This window comes from Homo sapiens, chromosome 9, assembly GCF_000001405.40.
Source record: "Homo sapiens chromosome 9, GRCh38.p14 Primary Assembly".
NCBI lineage: Eukaryota > Metazoa > Chordata > Mammalia > Primates > Hominidae > Homo > Homo sapiens.
In genome coordinates, this window is record NC_000009.12 from 105,626,886 (window position 1) to 105,653,690 (window position 26,805).

At 39.1% G+C, this 26,805-nt stretch overlaps 1 protein-coding gene across 38 annotated transcripts in view, besides 3 other annotated features; it reads left to right on the forward strand.

The window, feature by feature from the left end:
* Window positions 1-14,233, forward strand: part of FKTN (fukutin) — an 82,989-nt gene extending 68,756 nt beyond the window's left edge. For 37 of the 38 annotated variants that reach the window (NR_147213.2, NR_147214.2, XM_047422979.1 and 34 more), the window contains one exon: window positions 8,166-14,233. Coding sequence is in view for 36 of the 38 variants with exons in the window: in XM_047422979.1 (XP_047278935.1) it covers window positions 8,166-8,379 (214 nt within the window). In the remaining 2 variants the exon portion in view is untranslated. The remainder of the gene's footprint in view (window positions 1-8,165) is intronic. The other variant, NM_001198963.2, reaches the window with a different exon arrangement.
* Window positions 20,744-20,888: an enhancer, noted in NCBI's record as "145 bp enhancer 228 fragment used in the MPRA reporter construct; PK_construct_4071". NCBI's record gives its function as "activates an SV40 promoter by MPRA in K562 cells {active_cell/tissue: K562}" and the evidence as "EXISTENCE:reporter gene assay evidence [ECO:0000049][PMID:23512712]".
* Window positions 20,807-20,824: a transcriptional cis regulatory region, noted in NCBI's record as "GATA motif; enhancer activity is reduced when this motif is scrambled". NCBI's record gives its function as "necessary for full MPRA enhancer 228 activity {active_cell/tissue: K562}" and the evidence as "EXISTENCE:site-directed mutagenesis evidence [ECO:0005528][PMID:23512712]".
* Window positions 24,814-25,376: an enhancer, noted in NCBI's record as "OCT4-NANOG hESC enhancer chr9:108413980-108414542 (GRCh37/hg19 assembly coordinates)". NCBI's record gives its function as "activates a minimal SCP1, AML or CMV promoter by ChIP-STARR-seq in naive H9 embryonic stem cells {active_cell/tissue: H9 hESC(naive)}" and the evidence as "EXISTENCE:reporter gene assay evidence [ECO:0000049][PMID:30033119]".

A 26,805-nucleotide genomic window follows, 5' to 3' on the forward strand; every position in this document is an offset into this window, starting at 1 on the left:
ACTGGCTGAGTATCTTGTCAGGGTTTTTTTCTGAGTTGTCTGTCTTTTTCTTACTTGAAAATATCTTCTCCCAATTTGTGCCTTTCTTCTTTATTCTTTTTTTTTTTTTTTTGAGACAGAGTTGTCACCCAGGCTGGAGTGCAGTGGTGTGATCTTGGCTCACTGCAACCTCCACCTCCCAGGTTCAAGCAGTTCTCATGCCTCAGCCTCCTAAGTAGCTGGAATTACAGGCACATTCCATCATACCCAGCTATTTTTGTATTTTTAGTAGAGATGGGGTTTCACCATGTTGCCCAGGCTAGTCTCAAACCCCTGACCTCAAGTAATCTGCCCTCCTCGGCCTCCTAAAGTGATTGGAATACAGGCATGAGCTGCCATGCCAGCCCTTCTTTACTCTCTTAATAGTGATTTTTGGTGAATAAAAAGTTATTTTAATGTAGTTCAGTTTATCTATTATGGGTAGTATTATCGTGTCCTGTTTAAGAAATCTTTCCCTATCCCAAGATAATGAAGCTATTCCTCTTGTACTACCTTCTAGAAACTTTATTGTTCTATATGTAATATGAAGTAAAGATCAAATTTAGACTCTATACTTTATTTGGATTCACTAGCTTTTCTACCAATGTGCTTTTTCTGTTCTAAGATCTAATCCAGGATACCACATTGCATTTAGACACTCTACCTTTTGAAACTTTATTTTGGTCCAAGATTTTAAGCTTGTCACTAGTAATACTAGATTATCATACATCACTGCATGTCCCACTTCTGCTCATTCAAGGGCCTTACGTTGCTGTCTGTTTGAACTAGCTTCTTGGTACCTTGATCTGGAAATAATCTTCTCTTCCTCTGCATTTCTATAGATTTTCTTTTTCTTTCCCTCTCTCATGCTTTATTGGAGTACTTTTGCTGATTTGTCTGTCCTTTCTATGTGATAGATAAAATCAGGCCTGGTACATGTTTGGCTAAGTGAGACCTGAGCCCTACATGAAACTAAGTCAGATCCTCTTAAGTGTAGTCTACACTGTTTTGTTAAGATGATAAGGTGACACTGGGTTGATGACTTGATCCAACCTAACGTGGTTGGAGAATTAAAACTATAGAATTAAGTTAGCCTAGTTGTTTTCAATCATTCTGCTTCACAAGAAGTTAAAAGACTAGAGGTATTTGTTGAATCCTCACTCATTGTCTCTCTCAGCTTCACAGATTGATACTGTGCTCCTACAGTTGTAACTCCAAGAAACACATTTGTCTTTTTAGTACTTACAGCTGTGAAGCTAAAGGCAAATTTGAATAATTTCTTTAAATGAGTGTATTTAAAACATTGACTTTTCTATGAATGATCTCGTATTTTCTGCTCTGTTTATGCGTTTATATTTTACAACATACAGATTATGTCTTAGGTCTCCTTAATTATACCTCCAAACCGCTAGTAAGTAGCAGGTGCAAAATTGAGGAATTGAGGGAAGAACTTTGAATGCATGTTATATGGGAATTGTATACTTATACAATATGTAGAAGTAGCAGTTATTTATATAGCAAGCTTTGTTTATTTTTTTAAGAGAAGATTGCCTCCAGATGAATAAGCAGTAAATCTTTCATTTATGTGAAGTAAGTTATGTTTTTTAAAACTGTCGAATAGTTTGTTGTTTGAACATAATTCTATAAGATATTATATAGGATAGTATTCTAAGAGAAATAAAAGCATATTTTCAGTAAAAGACTTGTACACAGATGTTTATAGCAGTCTTACTCATACTAGCAAGAAATGGAAGCAACCCAAATGCCCATCTTCTGGTGACTAGTTATAAAATTATGATATATTCAAACAATGGACTACCACTGAACAATGAATAGCAATGAACTACTGATAAATGCAATAACATGGATGAATTTCTAAAACATGATGCTAAGTGAAAGAAGTCAGATAGGAAGAGTATATACTGTGTACTTGCTGTTATTTGAAATTGCACAGGAAAAACCAACCAACAGTGTAATAAGATTAGTGGTTGCCTAGGACCAGGGTGGGTTGATTGCTTGACTGACAAGGGGCACAGGGAACTTTGGACGAGGGGTTGGTAGAAATGTTCTATATCTTGATTATTGTGGTTACACAGGTATATACATTTATCAAAACTCATCACTTAAGATAGATGCATTTCATTATACTTAACTTATACCTCAAAAGAAGTTACCTTAAAAGTTTAAGACTGGGCACAGTAACCCATCAGCATTTGGGGAAGACCCGGTGAGAGGATCACTTGAGCCCAGGAGTTCAAGATAAGCCTGGGCAACATAGGGAGACCCCATGTCTACAAAAAAATAAAAACTAAACTTAAAAAAGGTTAAAAAGATAAAAAACAGTTTGTGACTTAGAAAACTGATGCTAAGAGAAAAAGGGTCTGAGATCACAGGTTGAAACAGAGGGATATATGGGACCAAAAGCAATGAATTTGGTCAGGGCAGACCTAATTGCAATGATAAACTTTGAGACTTTCACATATGATTAAACAAATTGTGTAATCTGATAGTAAAGCCTTTTGTATTGAGTATGAAAATTGAAACTATAATTTAATTCTTTTAAAAATTATCCATTATATACAAGGAGAAATCCTGTAAAAGTCTGAAGGAAAGCAAGCACAACTGGAGTCTAACTGGTTGTTGAAGTGCTATTAGATCTAGTTCTGGGAAGTTATGTGGTTATGTAGAGCTATAGAGTTTTTGGAAGTTATGTAGTTATGTCCCAAGGCTTTGTCCTCTGGCATTGAGGAAAACTTTAGTACTTGTTTTAAATTGATAGTTTTTAATGTAGTCATTATGTGTATGTATATATACATGCTGCTCTAAAGACACATGCACACATATGTTTATTGTGGCACTATTCACAATAGCAAAGACTTGGAACCAACCCAAATGTCCATCAATGATAGAATGGATTAAGAAAATGTGGCACATATACACCATGGAATACTATGCAGCCATAAAAAAGGACAAGTTCATGTCCTTTGTAGGGACATGGATGAAGCTGGAAACCATCATTCTCAGCAAACTATCGCAAGGACAGAAAACCAAACACTGCATGTTCTCACTTATAGGTGGGAATTGAACAATGAGAACACTTGGACACAGGGTGGGGAACATCACACAATCACACACTGGGGCCTGTCGTGGGGTAGGGGGAGAGGGGAGGGATAGCATTAGGAGATATACCTAATGTAAAGGACGAGTTAATGGGTGCAGCACACCAACATGGCACATGTATACATATGTAACAAACTGGCACGTTGTGCACATGTACCCTAGAACTTCAAGTATAATTAAAAAAAAGAAAAAAGAAAAATCTGGGATGGCTGGCTTTAGTTTATACTCAGCTGTGTTACATTAACTCTCTCAAAACAAAATGCGGTAGATAACTAGGTCAATAAATGTGATCATTAGTTAAAATGTGAAAATGATAAAATTTTCTAGAAAAATAAATACCAAAATCAACTCAAAAAGATCTAGATAACCTATATTCATTCGAGACAGTGAATTAGTAATCCGAAATCCTCCTTTCTCCCTCTTTTCCCTACCAGAGTATACTAAAACCTAGAAAGTTTGCTGCAAAGTTTCACTGTGCCTTCACAGAACAGATTATCCCTGTATTGTACAGCTTATTTCAGGCAATAGAAAAAGAGAAAACTAAATAACTATTTTATGAGAGTGATAGCAAAAGTGGACATGAACAATACCAAAAAAAATTTTTTAAGGGAAATTACTGTCTCAGTGAATACAGTGAAAAAATACTAAATGAATAGAATTTTGTAGTGTGTACATATTAATGTAATTCTCTGTATTAAAGGATTAAAAGATTAAAGGAACAAAAACACTATGATTGTTTTAATAGATGACATTAACATTTTTTGATAAATTTTATAATTAACCAAAAGGAGAGAGACCTCTTAGCAAATTTGGATTAAAAGGAATCTAGGCTGGGCATGGTGGCTCACATCTGTAATCTCAACATTTAGGGAGGCCGAGGCAGGTGGATCACTTGAGGCAGGAGGTCAAGACCAGACTGGCCAACATGGTGATACCCCAACTCTACTAAAAATAGAAAAATTAGCCAGGTGTGGTGGTGTGCGCCTGTAATCCCAGCCACTCCAGAGGCTGAGGCAGGAGAATTGCTTGAACCCGAGAGGTGGAGGTTGCAGTGAGCTGAGGTCGCACCACTGTACTCCAGCCTGGGTGACAAAGCGAGACTGTCTCAAACAAACAAACAAAAAAATCTGAAATTTCTTTTACCTAATAAAGAGAATATAACAAAAACCTAGAGTGAGCAATCATGTTTAATGATAAAACTTTAGAAGCCCTTCCATTAAAATCAGAAAAACGTTAGGAATGTGTGCTAGCCCTGCTTCTATTAAACAATATGCTAGAGGGCTTAGGCACTGGAATAACATGAGAAGAAATTAAAAGTTAAAAGAAGAGAAAAAATTGGTAGTGAGAATAAACCATTTATGTTTTGTAGGAAATTCTTGTCAAGAATGGCTCTACTGCTCCAATTCTAGAGTTAATGTAAAACTTAAGTTTAAAAAAGCCAGGTTCGGGAACAGGCAACCTACAAAATGGGAGAAAATTTTTGCAACCTACTCATCTGACAAAGGGCTAATATCCACAATCTACAATGAACTCAAACAAATTTACAAGAAAAAAACAAACAACCCCATCAAAAAGTGGGTGAAGGACATGAACAGACACTTCTCAAAAAAAGACATTTATGCAGCCAAAAAACACATGAAAAAATGCTCATCATCACTGGCCATCAGAGAAATGCAAATCAAAACCACAATGAGATACCATCTCACACCAGTTAGAATGGCAATCATTAAAAAGTCAGGAAACAACAGGTGCTGGAGAGGATGTGGAGAAATAGGAACACTTTTACACTGTTGGTGGGACTGTAAACTAGTTCAACCATTGTGGAAGTCAGTGTGGCGACTCCTCAGGGATCTAGAACTGGAAATACCATTTGACCCAGCCATCCCATTACTGGGTATATACCCAAAGGACTATAAATCATGCTGCTATAAAGACACATGCACCCGTATGTTTATTGCGGCATTATTCACAATAGCAAAGACTTGGAACCAACCCAAATGTCCAACAATGATAGACTGGATTAAGAAAATGTGGCACATATACACCATGGAATACTATGCAGCCATAAAAAAGGATGAGTTCATGTCCTTTGTAGGGACATGGATGAAACTGGAAATCATCATTCTCAGTAAACTATCGCAAGAACAAAAAACCAAACACCGCATATTCTCACTCATAGGTGGGAACTGAACAATGAGATCACATGGACACAGGAAGGGGAATATCACACTCTGGGGACTGTTGTGGGGTGGTGGGAGGCGGGAGGGATAGCATCGGGAGATATACCTAATGCTAGATGACGAGTTAGTGGGTGCAGTGCACCAGCATGGCACATGTATACATATGTAACTAACCTGCACAATGTGCACATGTACCCTAAAACTTAAAAGTATAATAAAAAAAAATATATATATATATAAAAATAAAAAATAAAATAAATAAAAAAGCCAGGTTCAGTTATAGTTGATGTTGTCTCTATCTCTCTGAGCCTAGTAATAATAAAACACTGTTGGTTCTGGGATAGTGGAAGAACTTCCTTTTCATTTAGCAGTTGTATTCATAGGTTGTGCTTAAACTGATTGTAATTAAACTGATGAAATTATCCAACTACCACCAAGTAGTTGTATAGATTTTAAGGATATCTGTGAGGGAAAAAAATGGTCTATTCCAATTATTGAACTACTGTTTTATGTAAAAATAATATGAAATAAAAGTGGTATGAAATAGAAAATGGATGGAAGGATTTTTTTGTGGTAATAATATCTCTTAAACTTATATTCTGATTTAGGGTTGCCTTAGTCTGCATTTAAACCTGTTCACATGCTGGATCCAATCCCAGGGCCTTAAAGTACAAACTGCTTAGCCGAACTTAGTCTTAGCTTTAAAAGCCAAGGTAACATTGCAGACCCATGGTGTATTTTAGTCTTAGTCATTATTTACTGGTAGCCTGGACAGAGTGCATGGCATGTGCTGTTCTGTGTCATTCACTCTCCTTCACTTCCTCCCTACAATCCTATTTTATAATCAGTTTTTACATTTTATTGTTTGTTTATCTTTCCTCTTAGGAAGCTGGGATTTTCTTTTTGCTGAATGGATTGAAAAATAATTGGGGAAAAGGAAACCACAAAGAGTTTAGAGAGGTTTCTGTTAAGTACAAAAATTAACATTTGAGTTAAATTGTCTTCGAATTATTTTCACATTATTTATATATTTAAAATGTTTTGGCTTTGCTCATAAATTCTTCATTGTTCAAAACATTGCTTTTGTAAAATTTGTAGTATTCCCTTTCACCTTATCTATCCTGTATCTATTATTATTTTTCCCTCTTTCAGCTTTTTGATGAGACCACAAAGGATAATACTTAGAGGAGTTTCCTGGCCTGTATTACAAGATAGACCATGAGTTCTGCCTCAATTCAACTTCATTGTGTCAACTTGATAGGATAAGACAGGTGGACATTCTGCTAACCAGCATCTGATTAGAGAGGGTGGAGGCTGGTGATGGATTGTTAGGTGTGATGACAAAATAAGCAATTCCGTTAACATGAGTGTGCAGAGTAAAATTGGGACCAGCAGATGGTGGGGCTAAGCTGTATCTTATTTCTCAGCTATGAGATTTTCCGTGGCCACCTTTTCACAGTAGCCAGCTGGGATTGTCCATTAACTGGGTTTGAGTAAAAGGGAGTTGTTGCTTTCTTTAGAATTTGTTCAGCCTCTCCTTTTCATGTATGGCTTTATGTTCATTTGGTAGTAAAACACGATATTCAAAGGCAGAATATATGAGAACTGACCTTTTCTTGGAGAACATCCCAGTTAGATCCCATTTCCACAATATGATTACACTTTGAAATCTGGCTTTTCCCTGTTCTTTCTTTAATCCTCTGATATTTTAAATTCCTGTAATCTCTGCTATTGCCACTTTAAACCTCATTACTGAAAGTTCTTCCCACACTGAAACACTTCTCAGAAAAAAAATGCAGAATATAGAGCAGAGCTATAATATAAACTTAAACAGACCTGCTAGTTTTAGCTTTCTTTTCTAGTATACATAATTTAGTTTACTTGATCCAAAGGATCTTTAAGAAACATGTTTTGGTTTAATTTCTGTTTGTTTTGTTTTTTTTTTTGAGACAGGGTCTCACTGTGTCACCCGGGCTGGAGTGCAGTGGCGTGATCTTGGCTCACTGCAACCTCCACCTCCAGGGTTCAAGTGATTCTCCTGCCTCAGCCTCCTGAGTAGCTGGGACGACAGGAGTGTGCCACCACACCCAGCTAATTTCTTTGTATTTTTAGTAGAGATGGGGTTTCGTCATGTTGGCCGGGCTGGTCTCGAACTTCTGGCCTCAAGTGATCTACCTGCCTCAGCCTCCCAAAGAGCTGGGATTACAGGCGGGAGCCACCACGACCGGCCTGGTTTAATTTCTAAAACTTACCTACTAATCGACTTAGTTCTGCAATAAATATAGTTACAATCATTATAACTAGTATTCCTTGGGCTGGTTTAAAGATGTTCTTTAGCATTTGAGATGAAAGGCAGAAACCACAGGTAGGATCATGTAAGCTATGGAACCAAAGGAAAAGCCTGGAAATGCAACTTGGAGTCCTGCTTACTCTGTATCCTTGGAAAATCCAGATTGTGAAAGAAAAGAAAAAGATCATTTTCATCCATCTTTTGACAGCTTTCTACTTTGACACTTCTTTCCTCTACAGTTCCAACAGAAAGCCCAAGGCTGACTTTGATTTGCCTGACTTGGGTATGTTCCCATCCCTGCCTCAATCATTAACTTACTGGCCTGAGTCTTAGTGATGGGGTCAGCCTCTCCTCAATCCTATGAGCTTGGAACAGGAAAGGAAAATTGGAGAAGAGGAAAGGGATTCTGGACAGTCAAAAATAATTAAATATCCACTCTCTTCCCAAAGCTGTGTAATGGGAGAGCACTGTCCTTCAGCCAATAATGCACTAGCAGCTAGATTCCTTAGCTAGACCTTCTTCCACTGTTGAAGCCTAATCCCTCTGTTTTGCTGCAGATACCTGTTTCCGAAGTTTACACTGTGCTGGACTGAGTTTGTAGACATGAAGGTCCATGTACCCTGTGAAACCCTCGAATACATTGAAGCCAACTATGGTAAGACCTGGAAGATTCCTGTAAAGACGTGGGACTGGAAGCGCTCTCCTCCCAATGTGCAACCCAATGGAATCTGGCCTATTTCTGAGTGGGATGAGGTTATCCAGTTATATTGAGATAGTAGGTTGAAATGGGAGAATTTCTCTTTTGGAAAAAAAGGTAGATAACTGTTTAAAAAATACATGTCTATTTGTCAAACATAAGTGGGAACCAAAGAAAAAATGTGACAAGTTTGAAGACACAGAAAGAGTCATCTGATGTAATTCTCTCACTTAGTACTGAGGAATTTTCATGTGCCACATACAATGCTAGGTTACAGTGGAGAAGCCTAGATGAATGAGACAAATACCTACTTCTTTTATTCCTCCTTTTGGTAAACAACTCAATTTTCCTTTGAGGGAACCCTCCCCCACCCTTTGAAGAGTTCAAGTTCTGTACAGGTTTTTAAAACGTGAAGTAATGTTTGAACTGGAAGATGAGCTCACCAGGCAAAGCTAAGGAAGGATATACTAGTTGAAAAGAATAACCCACTCCTCTTCTGGGCATTTAAGCTGGTATGTTAGTGCTACTTTTAAGATTGTGGAGTCTGAGTTAATATTCAAGTGATCAGACTTTGAGTGACATCAAGAAAAGATGATATCAGGTTCATTTTTCAACTAATCTTATGTGGAATTGAATTAGAGAACAAGGCATTATTCTTTTAGGGAAGGTGAGAGCTTATTTGTATCAGAGCTTATTACTTGTCAGGATAAGTAAATTTCTGTACATGTACTGTTTTCATATGTGAAGTGAGAAGAAACTTTATGCTTGTTTAATGCTTAAATTTCCATCCATTGTGAGAATATTTTCACTGACCTCTGATGGCACTTGTTGACAAATCATTCAAGTGAGACCATGTTACTAGACATGATCTTGAAAGAGGCCATGATTTCACAAAACTCATTTTTATTTTATTCTCAGACAGTCTGTTAGGTAAAAATATGAGAAATTCATGTACATTTTATATTTTCTGAATTTATAATCTGTGCACTCCCAATTTTAATGACACTAAAATATTAATAGAATTTTTTAAATATACTCTAATTTTTAAAACATACTCTTTATTATCTTCATTTATCAATTACAGCTTCGTATCTCTAATTTATGGTCTATATACCAATTTAAATGGCATGTAAACCTGCCTGTTTCTTCTCCTCTTCTAATATATCAGATCTCCAAAATGGAAGCTAAATGGTGGACTTGACAACTATTCACCCTACCTCAGATCATAGAGTTTGTAAAGTTTGTGTCCCTCCCCAGTTTTTCAGTCTGTTGAATGTCGATGGGGCAAGAACTCAGACTTCTACTTTACCAAGTACCACACACTCTGGAATGCTTTAGTTTCCTTTTCCCCTCAAGATGTCTGAGTCAGCTAGGATGCTGTTTACCCCATCTCTCTCTTATATCACTTGAATGATATATTGTAAGTGAGAGGTAAAGGAAAATGTAGGCACAATAAGCACTGCTATTTTTCTCTTTGTCTAGGAAAGGAAGCTGAATCTTATATCTTATCTATGCTATTTAGGACTACTTTCTGGAGCTTGGCAGATTTTCCTCTGACACCAGAGAACAATAGTAGTCTCAAGAATGGAAACCTGAATGTCTGAGGGAATGGGCTGGTAGACTTTTTCGAAAACAAATTAGAGAAAGTAACTTACAACCACCCATTCCGGATTTGTAAAGCAACATGAAAACCTTTGATAAATGATAACCAACAGTCTTCTGTCCTAATTTGCATTCTCAATGCAGAATTATTGGGTCTTTCATAAATAACATGAGTGGTTTCTGGAGACATTTAAGATTGTCAGCAAACTTGTCCCAAAATGGCACATCATCATAATCCATTTTCTCTTTGCTAGAAAATCAGCCCATAGAGTGCATTCCCAAATTCTAAATAGCTGACCCTAAATTCATTTTTCATGCTTAAAAATAATAGAACAAATAATAATACTATTTTTGGGCAAAATCCACCCTACTTGATGAGGACCATTTGCTTGTGCTCAGTATTTAGAAATGCATACACTCCACATTTCTCCCCATTTCCAATTGGGACTCCCATTCTTTGCCAGGAGATCTTACCCATCCCTTTTCAGATTAATCTTTTATCCTTTCCTGAAGTACAAAGTCTTAAGAGTGTCTGAAATCCAAGACATCTTGGCCCAATTGACACAGGTTCTATATTCTTCCCTACATAGACCACTGGCTGCTGAAATACTTTTCTTGTCTTCTGGTTTCACAGGCTTCAGCTCATGGGTTCCACCCTAACTTGGGGAAACAAAAGCCTTCTCTAGAATCTGAAGGCCAGGCTTACCTCTGATTCTGATTCATCCATACTTCATCTTATGTATTTTAACAGTTGGGTTCTGTGGAGTGTCCAGAGACCTTGGGTTAGGTATATCCATCTTCAGTACCTCATTGGATCACTTTTCTTTCATCACTTGAGTATTCTAGCAGTCATTCTCCTAATCTGACCACTTTCAGGTTTAGTTTACCTGGCTTACCTGGGGAAGTTGACAACTTGTTGGTAGTTAGGCACCCATGAATGTCTCCAGAGACATCCTGAGAGGCAAGATTCCTCTTAATTGATAACCAGGACAACCAGGTAGTCACCCAGTCCTCTCTAAGCAGGGAGCACTTGTCCTTCTCTCCTCTGCTGCAGCTACTGATATCTGGCCCCTGGAATAAAACCATAGTTCCTAAAATTGAGCATCCCTAAGAGTAGCTGCTTGGTGGGACAGCTGATTTCTTTGATTCCCTAGCTGCAAAACCTGAAATTGACCACTAGGTGACAGAATGTTTGCCAGTATCCCCACAAAACAAGTTAAAACTTAAGTGAAAATCATTCTGCTTTTGAATCTTAAAAGCTAGAAAAACCATAATGTAATATTCTTTTTAAACCCTCTTATTTTATAACTAAATAAATAATCACAGAAAAGAATGATCTGAACAAGAACAGCTGAGGCTAAAACCCAAGACTGCCGTGACTCCTAGTCCAATGTCTGTTTCGCATCACAACACAGTATCTTTAACAGTGCTTGAGATGCTTAACAGAGAAGGCATCCAGTGCTTCATTGAGGCTAAGTCTCAGGGTGTTTCTGCCGCTTAGTATCTTTTTGTTCAGATTGAGAACCTAAGGCGACAGAGAGGTCAAGGGGAAGTATTTTCTAGTTCAGAATTCAGAATTCTTAGGCAACCTTCATACCTTTATCTGGAAAATGCCTTCTCTCCAGACAATAAGACAGTTCACATCTGGAGACATCAGCCTTTGGTACCTAATTCTCTAAGCTCAAGATGCATCCCATTGCCACTTTACCATTCTATTTCCCAAGGGAACCATCAGCACCAACCTGCTAAATGCCTGTATTTGAAGTCTCTCCCCTTCCTGAAGTGACCTTTTATGAGGCTCTTTCCTTCCTAAGGGACCTTTCCCTGGTAGTAGTGGTCTCATTCACAAAAAAGAATAATAGATGTAACTGGAGTCACTTTGCAGTTTTCAAGATTTTTTTTTTATCTGCTTGGCTGGAAAGGAGACTAGAGTATCTAGTTTTTAGTATTTAAACTACTTTTAATTATTTATATTGATACTCTCTGATAAATGCAGGTAGTTAAGAATAGATTGTACTCATTCCTTTTTGAGTTTGTGACCTCAAACCATTGTTTTTATTCTTACACGACTACAGTACTTCAAATGGCACATAGATAGGCAGGATATTACATAGGTAAGCAGGAATTTATACATTGGGTACCAGAGCTAAATCTGGAAAACACATTTGGAATGAGCTTCCACACTTCAGTCTAAAATCTCACCCAAACTTATGGCTACATATTTTTCTAAGTTTCCCCCCTAGTTTCACTTTCTGGAAAGTGAACAGTTTTTTAAATCCTAAATGTTATAAATCCTTAGGAGAAATATTCCCTCAAAACCTAGTCAAGAAAGTGCCACATTCCCACCTTCTAACAGGTAATTATTAGTTGTAATAGCTTTAATGCATGGAAAAACTTCAGTTACTGACCAGTCAAGAGAATTTCTCAAGAAAAATCCCAGCAACGTTCCCTCTTTCCTCCTTGTCTTCCACTATCATTAAGACCTGGGCTAGATCACCTCTAACATCTCACTCAGGGAAGGCAATGTGTTGCCATAAAAAGACCACAAGCTTTTGAGTTAGGCCTGAATTTGAATTTCAGCTTAATCATGTGGGATTTATGGTGGGGGCCCTTTCAGTCTCAATTTCCACATTAGTGAACTGGGGAAATGATACATACTTCTAAGGGTTTTTAGGGGGATTAAATGAAGTATACAGTTCTTAGCCTCAGGCCTAGGATTAAGTAAGTACTCAAGAAATGTGCAATTTTCTAGTTCCATGTTTCTTTTCTAATCTTCAAATGGAATTATAGAAACCATGGGTCAGAACATATTCCTTTACTCAAAAGATTGCATGACTGAATTTGCTTAAGAAAAAAAAAATTGTATCAAGTCATTAATACAATTATACATTAATTATATTACATTAATACAATATATGGTTTGTGAATTCAGAGACATTACCAGTTTGCCTCCTTCTCTCAATAGAACTTGTATTTTCATTTTCTTGGTTAAGCAGTTGTCTCCTAATATTATCCCATATGCTACCTAGTTTGCTGGTCCCAAGCAGTTTACTGTACTTCACTAGATTTGGTACCTGCTCTCCCCTGGACTTCTTTTTCAATATTCTAGCCTTTCCTAGATGTAAATCTTTACCTCCTTGTTAGTGAAATTAGATATAAGCCATGATTTGGAGAGGGAAGAAATCTGGAATACTTAATTTCATTTAATTATCTATGCTGATGAATGCCTGTATCATTGTTAATAAAGGAGAATTGAAAATACTCATTTCTACTTTCTGCCCTCAAATTTCTGTTTCTATCTCAACTAGGCAAGAATCAGCAGGGTGCATGATGCCATTTTAAGCTGCTTCACATCAGACTGAAATCCTAATTACAGTTCATAAGTGAAACAGACTAATTCAATGGCAATACCTTTTGTATAGGTCCTGTGCTTAAAGGAGGCAAGTATAAATTTTCTAATAAGAAATCCCTGCTTCTTTTGGGTGCAGTGGCTCACACCTGTAATACCAGCAGTTTGAGAAGCTAAGGCAGGTGGATCACTTGAGGCCAGGAGTTCGAGACCAGCCTGGCCAACATAGTGAAACCCCGTCTCTTCTAAAAATACAAAAAAATTAGCTGGGCATGGTGGTGCACGCCTATAGTCCCAGCTACACAGGAGGCTGAGGCAGGAGAATCACTTGAACCCGGGAAGCAGAGTCTGCAGTGAGCCAAGATCGCGGCATTGCACTTCAGCCTGGGCGATAGAGCAAGACTCTGTCTCAGAAAAAAAAAAAAAGGAAAGAAAGAAATCTCTGCTTCCGTACTATCAAAACTTCTACCCTAGAATACCCCCTGGCACCTTCTAACCCAACCTAATACAGAGATTTTGTAGGGACCCATTAACAAGCTCCTATATAATTATAAGCAGCTCTCACAGTAGGGTTGAAAGAGAATATAAGGAAAATTAGAAGTACTGTATTTTTGCTATTGGAAATGAAATATTGTTTCATGCACCTTTGAAAAAAATAACAGGATTTTACAGCCTTCTGATGATTCATTCAAAGCATGGGGAATAGTTCATATGTTTGTTAAATGAAAATCTTATGTAGCTATTTGTGTGTCCCTCCCACTTCATAACTACAAAAACATATATATGAATTTCTAAACAAAGTGATATTTTAAAGATGAATTGATTCAATGTGTACTTACCAGTTTACTGTGTGGTTTTATCTTCAGGTACAGATAGTTTGTGGTACTACTTGAAAATACCTTTAATATTATTTTCATCAGAATTTGTAATATATAATCCAGTTTGGGATGATGAATAAAATTTTTCTAATCTCTTGAGATATCTTGTATTTATTTTTGAGACTTGCAGTAGAAATAACAGACACTAACATTCACAGACAATCTGATAAAATAGTAATCTTGCCACCAGTACAGTATTTCTAAAATTCAACTATGGGGACCCTAGTAGTCTGCACACATATACCTGGGTATCCAAAAGTTCTCAGAGATAAAACCTGCCAGCCAAAGACCACCAGGAACACACCTGTAATCAAACAAAGTTAGGTTTATTAGCTTGTTGTAGTAAGAGGAAACAGCCACCATGGGGAATCATAACATATTTCAGGGAGAAGGAACTAGAAAGGTCTTTTATAGGCTTTGAGCTGATGTCAAAATTGTTAAAAGTAACTGTGGTGGAGTGGAAATAACACAGGACATGGAGTAAAAAGTTCTAGTTTGTCTGAATCCAACAGTGCCATGACCAGTAGGATTCATTTCAGGTGTACATGGCTAGTTCAGCCTTAAAACAGTCAATGTAATGCACTGTATCAACAAAGTAAAGAAAATCATATCAATAGACACAAAAAGAGTCTGACAAAATCTAACCCTCATTCATGAGAAAAACTCAGTAAGTTAAAAATAGAAGATAATTACCTCAACTTGATGAAGAACATCTAAAACCAACAAACAAAAACCTGTATGTTTTAATAGCAAAAAACTGAATGTTTTTCCTCTAAGATTAGGAACAAGGCAAGGATGTCTGCTTTCATCACTCTTATTCAGCCTAATACTAGAAGTGCTAGTCACTGAAGTAAGGCAAAAAATAAATAAATAAATAAATAAATAAAAGACATGCAGATTGCAAAGAAATTTTTAAAAACTTTTCATTTGCAGATGACATGATTGTTTACATAGATAATACCAAGGAATGTATTTTAAAACAAGCAAACACCTGGAGCTAATAAGTGAGTTTTAGTGCAGTCACAGTATACAAGATCAAGACCAATACCCCCAAATCAATTGCATTTCTATATTCTAACAGCAAACATGAGAACAAAAACACAGTACTATTTAAAGTCACCCTGAAGAAAATGAAGTACTTAGGTATAAAATTAACAAATTATATACAAGATTTGTATGTTAAAAATGCTGATGAAATCAAAGACCTCAATAAATGGAGATGCATACCATGTTCATGGATTGGAAAACAACACAGTAAAGATGTCAGTTCTACTCAACTTGATCAATAGGTTTAATGCAATTCCTATCAAAATCTCAGCAAGGTTTTTAATAGACATAGACAAACTTATTTTAAAATGTATGTGATAAGTTTATTTCTCTAGAATATCTCAAGTAATCTTTATAAGGAAAAAGTAGCAGAAAGATTTGGTATCAGAAGACCTAAGTTCATTCTTGCACTTCAATAGATACCACATCTGATCTTATAAGGTAGATGTTATTTCCCCTTGTTTTGCAGATGAGGAAGCTGCAATTTAGAGGTAACACAGATCTTAAATCCTTGTTTTCTGACTTGAAATCCAGTGGCTACTCACTCTGCCAATTCTACTTAACTGTTGATCTGAAAAAAAAAATTTTTTTTTAATTATTACTTAAAACCAGCCTCTGATACTGAAAGTGAGAAGGATCACTCTACCCAATATTAAGGTTTATTATATAGCTATAGTAATTGTTATGGGCTGAATTGTGTTCCCTTATATCCCTCAAAATTCATATGTTTCAGTCCTGACCCCTAGTATCTCAGAATGTGACTGTGTTTGGAGATAGAGCCTTTAAACAGCTAATTAAGGTAAAATGAGGTCATATGGGTGATTCCCAATTCACTGGTGACTAGAGTCCTTAGAAGAGCTTAGGACAAGGAGAGGCACAGAAGGAGGACCATGTAGAGACATAGAGAGAAGATGGTCACCTACAAGCCAAGGAGAGGATCCCTCAGAAGAAACCAGCCCTGCCAACACCTTAGCCTTGGACTTCTAGTTTCCTGAACTGTGAGAAAATAGATTTCTATTGTTGAAACCACTCAGCTGTGGTACTTTGTTATAGCAGCCCTAGCAATCTAATGCAGTAGTCAAGACAGTATGGTATTGGTAAAAGGATACGCACATAGATCAGTGAAACAAAATAAACCAGAAATTGACCCATATGAGTATGTCCAACTGATTTTTTACAAAAGTGCAAAAGCAATTCAGTGGAGGAAAGACAGTCTGTTTTTTTTTATTTTTTCTTTTATAGACAGGGTCTCACTGTGTCACCCAGGCTGGAGTGCTGTGGCACAATCATTGTTCACTATCACCTCGAGCTCCATGGGCTCAAGCAGTCCTCCCGCTTCAGCCTCCCAAGTAGCCAGGACTACAGGTGTATGCCACCACACCCCGCTATTATTTTATTTTATTTTGTTGTTGACACGGAGTCTCATTATGTTGCCTAGGCTGCTCTCAAACTCCTGGCCCCAAGCTGTCCTCCACCTAGGCCTCCCAAAGTGCTGAGATTGCAGGCATGAGCCTCCACACCCAGCCAAGATAGACCTTTCAACAAATGGTGCTAGAGCAATTGGACATTCATAGGCAAAAACAAACTCAACTTGAATGAACCTCACACTTTGTACAAAAATGTACTTAAAATGGATCACATGCTTAAATGTAAAATATAAAACTGTAAACCCTTTTGGGAAAAAAATAGGAGAAAATCTTCATGATCTAGGGTTATGCAAAGCATTCTTTCTTTGACTTGACACAAAAAACACAATGTATAAAAGAAAAATGGATAAATTGGACTTCATCAAAATTAAAAATTGCTGCTCTGCAAAAGCCCACATGTAGGGGCTGAAAAGTCCAGCTACAGACTAGGAGGAAAATATTTGCAAACTGTGTATCTTGACAAAGGACTAGTACCTGGAATATATAAAGAACCTGAACACTCAGCAGTTTTTTGAAAAATTCAATTAGAAAATGGGCAAAGACATAGACAGACATTTCATTGAAGAGGATATACAGATGGCTAAGAAGCACATGAAAAAGATGTTCAACATCATTAGCCAGGGAAATGCAAATTACAACCACATGAGATATCATTGCATACCTATTAGAATGGCTAAAATTAAAAATAATGATAACACCAAATCTGCTAGTTGTTTCTTTTATGATTTTCTTTTTTAATGTGTACTGTGCACCGTTGTTTTTACTGTGATTTTACTAAAGAGTGTCCTTAAACATTTTACAAACATTCGTAATAGGTAACACTCTTCATAATAAAAAGGAATAACCTTGTCTGAATTTTTGGAAGACAGGTTTTTAGGTTTTTGTTTTTGCCTTTCCTCCAATTCTTTGTTGATTTACTTTGTCATTTTAATAACCCTCTTTTTATGATTTATTTTCTCTTTATTATTCCTTTGTGTTCTTCGAGTTTTCTTTAATTAGATTTATCAGTAAAGCCCTTTAGCAGCTAGTACTATTGTTCATAGTTCTCTGCAACTTTATCAGTAGGGCTTTTACAACCTAAAACTTCTAAATTCAAATTTTTTCTTCCGTTAATCTCAATAATTTGGAGGATGTTTTCTAGTGAATTTTGCAGGAAAGTTAATTGAGTGGCCAATGTTCTGAAAATGCTATACTACCAAATGTCTTTCAGATGACTTAGAAGATGACAGTCTCATAGTTGGAGAGTGGAAGAGTTTGCTTTGGAGCCCAAACTGGGCAACCGTCTAATCCAGCCAGATCCTGCTTAGCAGAAAAAGCAAATTTCTGGCATGTGACCTCATAAACAAGGGAAAAGCTCTCCTTTTAGGATGATGTCTTCTCTTACCATCTATTTCCCCATGTCTTAGTGGAAGGAGCCATCTTTTTCCCCATGTCTTAGTGGAAGACCAGAGAATTATCTAGAGCATGGTGTGATGCTGCAAATGATGTATCTGTAGCCACTAGCCACATGACTACTGAATATTTGAAATGTGGCAAGTGTAACTGAATAACTAAATATTTACTCTAATTTTAATTAATTTAAAACTAGTAGCTAGCATATTGCAGATCTATAGGGTTTTATGGGATCAGCAAGGGTTTTGGATTTGTCGACTGGAATCCAGAGCCCTCCACAGCCTAGTTCGGTGATCTTGGGCTAGCTATTCAACTTCTGAGTTCTGAATTTTTTTTCAACTAATGGGGCTAAATTAATACCTACCTTTAAAGGTTATTAAAAGAATTGTAAGAAATTGTAAGAAATCTGCAGTGTCTGGCACACTGCTCAGTACATGGTAGATGTACAGTACATGGTAGATGGTCAGTGAATGATAACTATTGTTAATATTATGTTCACATGGTTTTACATCTGCCTTTGGCATAAATCCTATCAGCTTGTATTTTCCTGATAATCTCATGTCACAATTTTTCTGTAAGATTGGTATTTCAGATCCCTCCTGGGTAGAGGCCCTATCCTGAGCACTGGTGTTAAGAAGCGACCCTGGCCTCAAGAGCACAGGTACAAGGCCTGTTCTTTGGGGAGAGAGTATGTGGGGTTAAAACATAACACTTAATGGAATTGAGTCTCAAGGACCAGGCTTAGGCAAAGAGACAAAAGTCCTAGACTTTGTAGATGGCTGTCTGAGCACCCGAGTCTAGAAAAAGCTCCAGGAAGGAGGACAGGGACTGGGTAATGAGGTTCAGCTGAGTCTTAGGACTTGTAGAACAGAAAATTTGAATAAATGAAGAAAGAAAACATTTCTGAGTAAGAGGAGTCAGTAAATTCACAGAATAGGCTTTATGGGACAGTGAATAAGACCATCTGCCATATGGATAAATAGTGAAAGATACAACTGGAAAAGTGGGCAAGGAACAGACTGCAGGAAATGAGGGGACTGAATATTCTGCTATGAAGTTTGGATATGAGAGAGAAAAGTTTTGAATAGGAGCATCATGCCTTCAATAAACACTTCTGGCCTGGTTACTACTCACCGGATCTGTCCTAAGGGTGAGGTTCGACAAACATTCAGGAAACCCCTTCAAGGATAGAGCAGGGATTTAGGAGAATTCAGATTCACCGAGACTGATCCTAGAGACCCTAGAACCCTGATAGTTGCAGGGACAGAGGATAGAAACTTAGCCAGATGGGCATAGGACCCTAGTGGTTTAAGTAAGGTCACTCCTAGGAATTATCAGTCAGTGCTAGACATGGGCACAAGCAGTCCAGAGTCAGGAAGCGCTTGAGACCAAGTGAGCAGGGGACAGTTTGGTGATGGTCTGGGAAGTGGAGCTCAAGAGCAGCATTGCAAGCCACAGAAAGGGAGTGTGATAGGACAAGGCAGGGTCTTATCCAGAGGGTTCCAGGGAATTAGAATAGGCCTTTGAGAGCCATGACAAAAGCTCATTTTGATGAATTGGGCCAGGAGAGCCAGTGAGATTCTAGGCTGTGGAGAAGACATGAAGGCAATTTTTGGAAGACAGCAGAGGAATGGAGACCAATGGTCAGTGCTAGACCTGGGCACCACAATACAGGCAATGTGAGGGATGTGGGAAAGAGGCTGGAGCCATTTCTATACCTGTCGCTTCAGTTAGAAACTAGGACAGGATAGACTTTTCACATGATGATGCCACAGGGCATAACTGAAAGCTAGGGAGAACAGAAGCCAGGAAGGGAGATAAGCTTAGTGAGGATTTTAAATTCTGGGTCTTAACTTAGTCCTCATCTCCCTATTGGCTGTTCACCTCTGGAGACTATGGGCTCCAAGGCGTAAAAAGTAATTGCTCTAGTTGTACTAGGAGAGTAGTTTGTGCTAACAACTGACCTTCTACCCTACATTTACCTCTACGAGAAGGCTTGGGACTCCAGTGGCTTTCTGGACCATAATAAAAACAAGGCCATTTTGTCTTCACTCTTCCTCGTTTCCACCCAGACAGATTCTGCTGCCTGGATAAGACAGCTCAGGCAGGGACCGCTGGCTGACGAGGCCTGGGCAAGCCTATAATCCCAGCAGAGAGCACAGGGACAATGAGTGGGAGGGGAGCCAGTCACAGGTTGTATCTTATTAAACCAGTCTGCATCAGCTACAGTGTAAGTCTCAGAAACAGATCTGAAACCCCAGCTGGTAACCTAGTTAGTTCAGGCAGCGTGTAAAGAAACCATATCCCCGCCAGCTAAAAAGATGCATGTGCTCCTGGGTAGTGCAGAAGTATCTGTTATGAAAAGCAAAGGTAACAACAGTTGTGGGAAATTAAGGTTTCCTCTGTGTGTTTTTTTATTGGTTGCATTTGAGGTGACATCCTCTAATTTTCCTAAGCACAGTGGGGCCTCCTGGAAACATCTGCTGGATTTGAGGAGTAAGGGGATGCTTCCCTCATCCTCCGGGTGTGTGTATTTGGTTTGGGATTTGTCAGGCTGGGTAGCTGAGGGCTCTGGGCAGCTTGACCTGGCAGATTTCCCCCACTTGCCTGAAAAGCAGCCTAGGGGGCAGAGGCCCCTCCCCAGCTCAGCCCTGCACCTTCACTCTAAGCGCCTGGAGCTGGGGCCTTTTATTTCAAGTCTGGTCCCCAGGGAGCAGAGTGGGAAATGAGGACAGCTGATAAGCCTGACAGTATTGACTTTATGGGGAGTATTCAATGAATTTACTTTCTGCAAGTAGGCTGCACTCTTATCTGCTGCCCACAGAGCATCTAAATCCTCATCTAGGAGACCCATCGATGAGTCACGTCCCTTACACAAAGACCAGAGAATAAAGAAGGAAAGGGGAATTCCATCCACCCCTTTCTTTTCTCCAGTACCTGGTCCTGCCCACCCCAACACCTCCCCTCGCTTTCCCCACTGCGTTTGGGTTTATTGGCTGAAAACAGAAGCACTCGCAGCTCCAGGCCTACGGAGTCAAGGCCAAGCCAGCCTGGTCTTGAGAGGTCGACAGCTGGGCACACCCAGGGCTGTATGTCCCTCTAACTGGTAACTATGGGAAGCTCACTTGAAGTAGTTGTGTGCACCGCTTTATGCTGCAACAGTCAACATTTGCTCTGGACAGAAATACCCTCACGGCTTTAACGCCAGGTGTCTTGGAGATAAAATGTGGGTGTGTGGGCGTTACCAAGGGGTCCTGGGTCTGGGGTGCTGGAGAGTGGAAGTTACATGTAAGAGAAAGGCCTGATGCGCAAGAGAAGTTTTTCTTTCCCCTCTGGCTTCTCCCTCATCCAGTCCTGGGCTCTGTTTCAAATATTAGAAAAAAATAAAAGCTTCTTAGCAGCACAGAAAGTAAGTAACTTGAAGGAGAGAGGTGGGAGCCAGAATGCTGGATTGGGCAGATGAAAGGAAAAAACTGAAAGTGCCCTTTGGCAGAAATTAGAGTCATGTGTTTAGGTTCACCATCTAGCTTTTAGACAGAGTTTTTTGGTAGTAAAAATAAAATGAAATCTCTGTATTGAGTAACTTTGGTTTCATTAGATGACTTAGCACCATTTTTTAGTATTTATTCCAAAGCACTAACTTTTTATACATTAGCTCACTGAATCTTCACAATAACCCATGAGATGATATTTCTGAGTTATAGCTGAGAAAACTGAGTCTGGGATAAGTTAAGTAACTTGCTCAGGATGACAACTATAATAGCATCAAAGCAAGGATGCAAACACCAGCCAGTCTGCCTCCAAAGCCAAGTCAAAGGTCTTCTCTTAGCTGCCACACTAAACTGCCTGCTATTTGGCATTTTTCAATATCTTATCTCAGTCCATGGCCAATCAATGAGTATTTATTATTCCCACGTTATTGGAAACAGGCTTAGCAGGATACCACTACCTGTCCAGGGCCACAAAACCAGTGTATATCAGAGACTCTGGTCCACAGAGTCTAGCATCTCTCCTAAAGGTCTCGCCCTGCTGGTGCATTGCCCACTGCTCAGGCAGAGATGTGGGCCACATCAGTGCGTTTCTCCCTTCCAGGTGCCCTGGTTTCCTGTGTCACCTGCTTTCACCTGCTGCTACTTGCTTGATAATTTTCTTAGTTGAGGGAGGTTGGAATGAGGGAGGCAGGAAGAGCCTGGGAGGATGTGAGCTGTTCACTAAGTTGCTCTGTGGGCCCTGTGAATGGAGTAGTATGAACATCCATGAGAATCTGCAGCTTCTGCAGGCTCTGGAAAGATGCCTGTCTAAAAACCGCTAGTAAAACTGAGTCAGCCATATGCTTGTTTCTTTAAGTATATGTTTTAGTATTTGACTTCTTTGGGAGAAATACATTTTTTGTTTAGGATAACTTGTTATGTAACTTTATAATTAATATTTATAATTGTTCATATTGAATAAGAAAACCTTGGTGAAATGCCTAGCATGACACTTGGCACTTAAGGTTGAATAATTGGGGCAGAGGATTAAGTTCCTGGGCCAGAGTTGATGCTTAATGTCAACCCCTCCTCAGGTCAAGCCATCATCTCCTCTTGCCTGCATTGCTTTCACGGCATCCTAACTAGTCCCCCCACCCCACCTCTTCTCTTGCCCCTCTCCATGTAGCAGACAGAATATTCTCTCCTTCTTAAAAAACAACCAGGTTGGGCGCCGTGGCTCACGCCTGTAATCCCAGCACTTTGGGAGGCCGAGGCGGGCAGATCACGAGGTCAGGAGATCGAGACCATCCTGACTAACACGGTGAAAACCCATCTCTACTAAAAATACAAAAAATTAGCCGGGCGTGGTGGCGGGCGCCTGTAGTCCCAGCTACTCGGGAGGCTGAGGCAGGAGAATGGTGTGAACCTGGGAGGTGGAGCTTGCAGTGAGCCAAGATCGCACCACTGCACTCCAGCCTGGGTGACAGAGTGAGACTCCATCTTAAAAAAAAAAAAAAAAAAAAAAACCATTCTATGGCCTTGGAAACATTTACCTCACAGAAGCAAGCTATGTGTCTGCTGACAGAAGGCAGGGCAGGCTGGAGGCAGCTGTCTGAAGAAATAAGAGCTTTCTTGCATTCATTCAACAAATATCTGATCAAGCAGCTTTTATGGGCAGTGAGCACAATTCCTGGGGTCTAGTGATGAAGGAAACTAAGTCTTTGTCCTCATGAAGTTTATAATGTAGCAAGTAAACTAGAATGAGATTTGTTTTGCAGAATTCAACATGAAGGTGGGGTCTCCTTTAAAGAAAAAAAAGAGAGAGTTAAAATAATTGAAATTTATCAAAAAGAGTTTCTTATGACCAAGAGTCACTCCCACGCACCCCAAATTAAGTATAAAGAATGGGCACAGTTTACTTTGGAAAATGCAAATTTAAAAGCAGGGGTTGTAATATTAATATAATAAAATGAAATTCATGGTAAAAAGCAAGATTTTTATATTGATATAGGCTACAATCCTCTAAGTCAATAAAAAAACTTCCTTGAGTCTTTATGCTTCAAAAGCAATGCAGCAAAAAATGTAAAGATCTAAAGCAAACACTCCCGGAAAAACAAAAAGAACAGAAACAAAATAGTAAAGGGAGATTTTCACACAGTGCTCTCTTGAATAGATCAAATAGACAAAAACTTCCAAGAATACAGATTTATTTAATGGATGTGTAAAAAGACATTTTACCATTCAAACAGAGAATATACCTCCTTTTCTAGTACCTGTGAAACATTTATAAAAGTTGAATATATGTTTTATCAAAGAGAAAATTCTCAATAAATATCCCAAAGCAAAAAACATACAGGGCATATATTTCACTATACTGCAATAAAATTAGAAACTAATAGCAAATGGTTGCCAAAAAAATACAACAACAAGAAAATTTAAAAACACTTTATAAAAGAAAAATAAGCAACAGACATTAGAAACCAATGACAATGATACTACAAATGGAAACAGGATATCCCCAAAGGTCTATCAGAAGAAAGTTCACAGCCCGGAGTGCTTTTCTTACTAAACAAGAAAGAGTAAAAATAAATAAGCATTCAATCCAAGAGTGATAGAGTGGAGAGGAAATAAACGTAAACAAAAGAACAGATTTAATAAAGATATAGTAGAAAGTGTATTTGAAAATCATAAAAATGATAAGCGAATCCCAGAGCTAGTTTTTTAGGAGCAATAAAATGAACAGACTTTTGCAACACTGATCAAGAAGAGAGAGAGAGAAATCATAAACACATAACATGAGGCATGAGAAAGGGGATTAAAAAAATAGAGATGTTAAAAAGTAACTGAATAACTGTATATAACACTCTACTAATGAATCTGAAAAGGTCCAAATTTATATGTCAAAGTACCAACATTAAGGAGAGAGAGAACAGGGGAAGGAACAAAACCTACCTAGAAGGATTTACTAGTAAATTGTATTAAATATCAAGAACCAGCTAACTCATCTGTTTAATAAATTAATGGTGGATGGAAAAAGTGATGAATAAATGACTGGATAAATGGAGAGATGGATGGATGAATAGGGGCCTCGATACATAGAATTGGAGATTGGTAAAGGGGCTAAGGATGGAGGAGGGAAGAAGAGAGTTTTAAGAGTGGCTAAGGCTGATGCTTGACCTCCAGCCAAAACAATCTTGGCCCACACCCACTTGGCCTGGCAGAAATCCCTTCCAAAAGTCCCAGGTTTGGGCCCTGGCGGTGGCTGACTCCTGTAATCCCAACACTTTGGGAAGCCAAGTCCGGAGGATTGTTTGACCCCAAGAGTTCAAGATCAGCTTGGGCAAGATGGCGAGATCCCGTCTCTACTTTTATGAATAAAATAAAAAACAAAAATCCCAGGTTTGGTCTTTCCTGAAACTGACAACCCCTGCATACAGGACTAGAAGGCCAGTATTCACAGGCTAATCCAGACAGATCAATTAAACCAGGAGAACCAGAAAGCCTGACAGTGCCCAAGCTCTCCTAGTGACCTGCCCTTCCCTCCCCAGCCCTCTGTTTCCTCCCCAGGAGCTCGCAGGTGCAGTCTCTCCAGGGGGCAGTGAGAGCCATGAATAGTAAGGGTTTTAGCTCAAGCACACAGAGGCGTTTAGCTGCCCAAATCTAATCCCCCAATAATCGGCTTATGTAAATTCCTACTTCAACCCCTTCCCCTGCAGGTCCTAGCCCCAAAATTCTCTACATTGGGAGACTGGCATGGGAGAAGACCCATCACTCTGAAGGATCACTGCTAGTGAAATGATGCGCCAAAGATTGTTTCCCCTGCTTCTGAAAGTATAAAACCAACAATAACATTTAAGAATGTTTTGAAAAGAAAAAACCATCAACCCTGGTCCCAGGATGTCAACACAATCGGGCTCCTTTCTCTGTAGCCCTTGTCCTTTCTCTGAGTCCTTGTCCACTCGCACACAGATCCTATTTGACAGCTTATTGTTTCGTTTAGCATCATCCATTTCCAATCTTGCTACCCTGTTACCACAATTCTTTTTCTCAGCTGTAAAATATGCCATTCAAAAAAATATATCACCTTACAGTTTTTGGCTGAGGTGAAGATTAATACAGGTTATTGCTTCAAAATGTAACATTTGCTGTATTATAATTGCCATATGGGGAAAACAGAGGAGCAGAAAGAGGAGCAAATCAGAGAAGCTTACTGCAAATATTAGTTTTTGTAGTTGTTTGTTTTTCTAGATGGAGTCTCTGTTGCCCAGGTTGGAGTGCAGTGGCATGATCTTGGCTCACTGCAACCTCTGCCTCAAGCGAAGCGATTCTCATGCCTCAACCTCCCAAGTAGCTGGAATTACAGGTGTGCGCCACCACACCTAGCTACTTTTTGTATTTTTAGTAGAGATGGGGTTTCACCATGTTGGCCAGGTTGGTCTCAAGCCCCTGACCTCAGGTGATCCACCCACCTCGGCCTCCCAAAGTACTGAGATTACAAGCATGAGCCACCGCACCTGGCCTTAGGTTATGTTTCTAAAGATCCCTTTTTACCAACTAATTTTCCCCAATCCACCCTCCAATCTCTCCTCTATACTGCCACCAGAATGAGTCTTGCGACCTGTGACTAAACATACTATTCCCATGTTCAAAGCACACAGTTGTATTTGTCTGGGCTGCCCTCTCCTCCACCCTTGCACTTGTATTATAATTCCTACCCAGTCTTTACCACCCTTCCACCAGGCACCCAGCAGTCAGAGCCCCTCCCCTGGACACTGTGCTTTTAGATGGCCCCTCTCTGGCCCTCCTCCAGTGCTCACCCAACTCCTATGTCCCACCTTCTAGAACATATTCTGGGAACCTGGGACCCCTGAATTTCTGTTCAAATGACCATGAACCCTTTTCCAGGGCCTGGATAGGGCTATTCCCTAGGTCCATGTGGGCTGGGAGTTCGCATCATTTTCACAAGGCCCTTCACAGAAAAAGACAGAGCTAGCGGGTGGGAAAAGAATGGGGACGGGGATGGAGTCTCCATTTGTACCCTTATCATGGCCCCCACAAATGTCAGAGCCACCCTTGCTTCAAGGCCTAGTTTAAATGCCATCTGTCCCATGGGTAACCTCTGATCCCCCAGCTAGAATCTTCTACCTTTCTGTCCCTAACTCTAATTTCACACTCTCTCGCATTCAGGACTGTCTGTCTTATATTAGTCATGTTGTCATGTCTTCTCCCTTCCAATAGCTGTTAGTGCCTTGAAAATAGATACAGAGCTTTCCTCACCTTCATGCCTACCTCCCCATCCTACCCCACTCCCCTCCTACCACCATAACCTAGCAAT